The following is a 6,000-nucleotide window of genomic DNA, read 5'->3' as shown; positions in this document are numbered from 1 at the left end:
ACTTGAAAGACTGGTGAAAGGCTTTCAAGGGGGGTGTTGGGGAAAGGACATATAGGGGAGAAATAAAAGAATTGCTAGAGGGCACTGAGGTTGAGGTTGTTATTTGTCTAAGTAGGAACACACAAGGAGGCATGAACATTGGATTTAATTTCCATATATACTATTAGTGCTGTCGTCTTTGACATGTCATGGCACTGAGGTTGGCGATGAAACATTCTACCCACTGCTCAAGGCAAAAGTAAAATATATTCTCCACTAGATTGTACGCCTATCTCACACTCTTCCAAGCTTCATAGCATTTGGGGCCACTCTTATAGCCCTTATCATGTTACATAGTACTAAAGTATCCTGCCAGCCACACCGATCAGGTTCCTGAATTTGGAGACTGATTTTGAATGGTGTGTCCAAGTACTGATGACTGGAGGTTCTTGAGTTTTGGAAAGCAAGTAGTAAAAGCTGGGATGGAGATGGATTTATTCTAAAATGTATCTGAATCTATTTAATTCTTGGGTTTAGGTAGCAAAAATTTTAAGATTGAATTAGATTAGTGAGGACAATACGTGTGTGTGTGTGTGTGTGTGTGTGTGTGTGTGTGTTTGTGTGTATTAACTTGCCTGCAGTATTGTGCTCACTTGAAGGCAGACCTTTTATCTGACTAATCATCATGTTTCCACAGGTCCCAATGTGGTGCTTTCCATGTGGTGGGTGCTAAATATTTATTGAATGAATAAATAAAAACTTCTAGGCCGGGCATAGTGGCTCACATCTGTAATCTCAGCACTTTGGGAAGCTGAGGCAGGAGGATTGCTTGAGCCCTCAAGAACAGCCTGGGCAACATAACGACTCCTACTAAAAAAAAAAAAAAAAAAAAGTAGCTAGTTGTAGTGGTGGACACCTGTAATCCCAGATACTTGGGAGGCTGAGGCAGGAAGATCTTTTGAGCCTAGGAATTTGAGGTTGAAGTGGGCTATGATCATGCCATTGCACTCCAACCTGGGTGAAAGACCCTGTCAAAGGAAAGAAAGAAAGAAAGAGAAAGAAAGAAGAAAGAAAGAAAGAAAGAAAGAAAGAAAGAAAGAAAGAAAGAAAGAAAGAAAGAAAGAGAAGAAAAGAAAGAAAGAGAAAGGAAGGAAGGAAGGAGGTAGAAAAGAAAAGAAAAGACAAAAGAAGAGAAAAGAGAAACTTCCAGGTATCCTTTTCCCACTTTTCCTTGTTCCTACTAAACTGTACTCTCCCATTAAGATAATTTAAGGTGAAACCAAAAGAATAATTTTAAAGAACTGCTCTTGTAACTGGGACTGCTTCCAAGTGCAATTATAATCACGTGCTTTTCATTTTCCTTTTCCACCCCTCCTATCAGAGAAAACCTGAATCAATTTCAAGAGATGAATTCCACTGCTTGTGTAAAATGTTCTGGCTTGTAGTCAAATGCACATTGCAGGAGTATATAAAAATGACTTTGTTTTCCACACAAGTGAATTCATTTAGGCAGTACCCAGTTTCTATTTCTTATTACCTTTTGGGAGGGCAGAGCATTAGGAAATTAAAAGGTAGCATTTTTGTACGAAAACTGCTGAATAAGGAATACCTGAGTGGTAAACAACTGGCTGAACCACCTTTGTGCTTCTGAGATAAGGGAGCACATTGTTTATTGTACCTGAAACCTGTTTCCAATACAAGGATTATATCTGCCTTGCTTTAGAAGGAACAATAATAGCATGCAACCTTGAACATACACATACAGCTCTGTTCCTTGTTCTTCATTTGTAACCGTATCCTTAGACAAAGCTGAATCTCCTTGGCTCTAACAAAAAGATTAAAAGGTTCTGATAATGGCTGAAATATCTTAGTTTCTGCATGTTTATGTGTCAATTAGGCATTAACACAGAGCTGTGTTTAACAAATATTCATTGAAGGAGTGGAGGAGTAAAGAAACAGACTCCGCTGGTAGAGAACAATGATAACATTTTTCCAGGAGGAGGCAAAGACTTTAGACTCTATCTTTAGACTCTATCTTGCCCAAGCTGGAGTGCATCGGTGCAATCATGGCTCCCTGGAGTCTTGAACTCCTGGACTCAAGCAATCCTCTCTCATAGCTAAGACTACAGGCACACACCATTAATTTTTAAATATTTTTTGTAGAGATGGGGGTCTCACTATGTTGCCCAGGCTGGTCTCAAACTACTGGGCACAGTGGCTCTCCCACCTTTGCCTCCCAAAGTGCTAGGATTACAAGCATGAGCCACTGTGCTCAGCCTAGACTTTTTTTTTTTTTTTTTTGAGATGGAGTTTTGCTTTTGTTGCACAGGCTGGAGTGCAATGGTGCAAACTCGGCTCACTGCAACCTCCGCCTTGTGGGTTCAAACGATCCTTCTGCCTCAGCCTCCCAAGCACCTGAGACTACAGGCATGTGCCACCATGATCAGCTAATTTTGTATTTTTAGTACAGACGGGGTTTCACCATGTTGGTCAGGCTGGTCTCAAACTCTTGACCTCAGGTGATCCACCTGCCTCTGCCTCCCAGAGTGCCGCGATTACAGGCGCGAGCCACCACGCCTGGACAAGACTCTGTTTTTTGTAAGTACCCTAGAAATGTGTTCGTAGACTCAAGAATGTGGAGGAAGAGAAGAAATACACACCTCCGATAATAGACTTAGGATGAAGGTTAATCAACTCCAAAGTGGGTGCATCCACATTTCAATTCAAAACAGCCATAAATGTTATTTGTCTAAGTAGGAACACACAAAGAGGCACGAATATTGGATTTAATTTCCATTTGTACTATTAGCACTGTGGTCTTTGACATGTCATGCAATTCTTCTGAGCCTGTTTCCCCATATAAATGACATATAAACGTGTAGGATTGAGCCTGGCATATTTATTTACTCAACAAATATTCATGTGCCAGGCATATGAGATAAAAAAGCGAAAAAAAAAAAAAAAAAGACAAGATCCCAGCCTTTGAAGAGCTTGTAGTATAGTGGGAAAGATATACAAATACGTGAGTACTGAGATAATTACGGATGGTGTATTAGGGCAGTAAAAGGAAGAATGCCTAAATCAGACTGGGGAACCCAGGAAATCTTCCTTGGGGAGGCAGTGCTCACACTGAGATTTGAAGAAGTAGGAATTAGACAAAAATGGGAAGGTCATTTCAGACTGAATGGGCAGCTGTGCAGGGGCAGAGTGGCATGCATCAGCTGGCTGTTTAGGGAACTGTTACCCATAGTTCAGCACCATTGGACTGGATCAAAGGTTGTGTGGTAGGGAGAGGTAGCACATGGAGCAGGAGAGGCAGGCAGAGGCCAGATCCTGACGAGCCTCGGGTGCTATGCTCAAACAGAGTGAACTTTACCACCAAAGGTACGAGGAAACCCCTTTACCACCAAAGGTACAGAGAAACCCAGGAGTTCGAAGGAGGGGTAGGTGAAAATTAGGTTTCTCTTCACCAAGAGTACTCTGGGCACAAGGTGGGGAAAAGACTGTAGTGGGGACAACTTGGAGGTAGGAGGTCCGGTTTAAGGCCCCTATAGTAATCCAGACCAGCAAAAAAATGAGTCTCAGCTAAAGTCATGGGGATGGGGAGGAGGAGATTTGCAGGGGTGGCACTCTCAGGGCAGGGAGAGAGGACAGGCAGTGAAGGAGATGCAAGAGTCTAAGATGATTCTCATCCGAGTAGATGAATGACATTACCATTCACTGAGGTGGTGATCGCAGGAGGAGGAGCAGGTTTGGGACGGGAGTAGGTGGGGAAGCACAACACTTTCCATTTAGGGCTGGTTTTGTTTAGCTGTCTGTGAGTCATCTGTGTAGAGGTGTCCAGGAGACAATTGACTATATGGGTGTGGACTAGAAGTATAGATTGGAAATAGCAACCAAGGTTGCCAGTTGTCCCCTAATACTTGTTTATTCTTATTTCATGGTAATAGGATTCCTTCCCTCCCTTCGCTTTTCTCTGGGGGGAAGGGTGCATGGCCACCTGGAATAAAAACTACATTTCCCCGTTTCACTTGCAACTGAGTATGGTCCTATGACTAAGACATGTATGATTAAGACTGAGTATGGTCATATGACTAAGACAATGAGAAGTTCTGAAAACCTTACTTAAGATTCAGCCCACGTGTACCCTGCGCCCCTTCATCTGCCTCTGTCCCTTCTGCCATTTTCCTTCCTGGAAGATAAATGCTGCCATCTTGGACAACACAGATGAGACCACTTAAAGAAGACAAGAGAGAAGGGTCCTGGGCAGGGCCATCACATTGCTCTACTCCAGAAGGAACCACTCAGGCTGTCTATGGGAATCGCGCTTGCTAGAGCTGCTCGGCACTCAGCCTCTGAGGCTGTAAAGGGAGGCCCAGAGAGAGGATCTCAGACCTCACGGAGCTTCTGGACTGTTTACTCAGACGTTATGTGAGAAAGAAAAATACATTTTAAAACTTAGCTTTTGCTTAAGCTTTTAAGCTCCCAGTATTTTAGTTTCCTTTTCCTCTTGCAGCCACATGTAATCCTAAATCACACAGGGAGTCACCAACCTATGGGAGGAAGTTGAAACCACAGTAAAGGATCAGGTCAGCCAAGGACCTCGTAGAGTGAGAGGGCAAAGGATGATGACAGAGGCTGGGGGCAGGCACTTGAAATGTCCCTCACACTCTTTCCTTCGGCCATTGGGAAATGTTCCTTTAGCATTTGCTCTTTTCCTTCTCAACCTGCCTCTGGAATGAGAATGTCTTCTCTACTCACCCAGCTGTTAAACCATCACCATTACATCACAGGCTTCTTCAGTCTAACCTTATAGAATCACGGTTGGCTGTGGGGTGAGAAAATCAACAGCAATGAGTTCTATGGCTTCCTTGAGATATCATTTACATACCAAATAATTCACCCATTCAAGTGCATGATTCAATATTTTTGACTATTTTCATGGAGTTATTCAGTCATCACCACAATCTAATTTTAGAACATTTTTGCCTGCAAAAAGAAATGACATTCAATTATTCACTAGCAGCCACTCCCCATTCCACAGTAATGATTTTTAACTATGCCATTGTTGGTTCCTTCTAAATCAGAACTAAACCAACTAGTGAAATCAATTGCCTTAGGTGTAGAAAAGCAGAGAATGATAAAGCTGAGGAGACTGAGGTTCAGAGAGGTTAAGTTACCTGCCCAAGGGGACCCAGATAGTGGCAGAACCAGGTACCCTGGCTTTCCCTCCAATGCCCTTTCACTTTCTGAATGGGAATTCCATAAGTACTTTTTGAATGAAAGTTACAGGGTACCATGGTAGAATAATTATCTTTTTTTCTTTTTAACTTTTCATTTAGAAATAATTTCAAACTTACAAAAATGTTGCAAGAATGCTACAACAAACTCCCATATGCCCTTTACCTAGAGTCCTTAATTGTTAACATTTTACCACATTTGTCTTTCAATCTTTCTGCGTATTTTTATAAATTATTGTGCTGAACAATTTGGGAGGCAGGTGCAGACATAATGTCTCATTATCTCTTAATACTTTAGTGTGCATTTCCTAAAAGCAGGACATTCTCCTACATAACTAAGTAGAAACATCAATACAATGTCACCATTTATTCACAAACTTCCAATTTTACCATCTGCCCTGATAATATCCTTTATGGGTCCAGAATGCAGTTGAGGATTGGTTGTTGGAAGTAATTAATTTGGAACAGTTTCTCAGCCTTTCCCTGTCCTGCATGCCTCTGACATTTTCAAAGGGTACAGCCAGTTATCTGTAGAATACTCCTCAGTTCAGGTTTGTCTGATACTGCCTCGTGATTAGCTTTATGTCATGCATTTTTGGCAGGAACACCACAGAGTAATGCTTTGTTCTCAGTCTATCATATCAAGGGTACATGATGTCAATTTGTCCCATTACTGGTGATGTTAAATTAAAAATGGGTAATAAGAGTTAACAAGTATTTTGTTGGAAGACACTGTGAGATAATGTAAAGATGCTGTTTCTCATCAAACTGTCATCCACTA

The 6,000-nt window shown here is 41.8% G+C and overlaps 1 annotated feature.

Annotated features, from left to right (window-relative positions):
* Positions 3,558-4,757: an enhancer, noted in NCBI's record as "CDK7 strongly-dependent group 2 enhancer chr1:180540570-180541769 (GRCh37/hg19 assembly coordinates)". NCBI's record gives its function as "activates an origin of replication core promoter dependent on BRD2, BRD4, P300/CBP, MED14 and CDK7 cofactors, with strong dependence on CDK7, by STARR-seq in HCT116 cells {active_cell/tissue: HCT116}" and the evidence as "EXISTENCE:reporter gene assay evidence [ECO:0000049][PMID:35650434]".

This window comes from Homo sapiens, chromosome 1, assembly GCF_000001405.40.
Source record: "Homo sapiens chromosome 1, GRCh38.p14 Primary Assembly".
NCBI classification, from domain to species: domain Eukaryota; kingdom Metazoa; phylum Chordata; class Mammalia; order Primates; family Hominidae; genus Homo; species Homo sapiens.
Note: the sequence above shows the minus strand (reverse complement) of the source record. Positions and strands in the feature narration are given on the sequence as shown.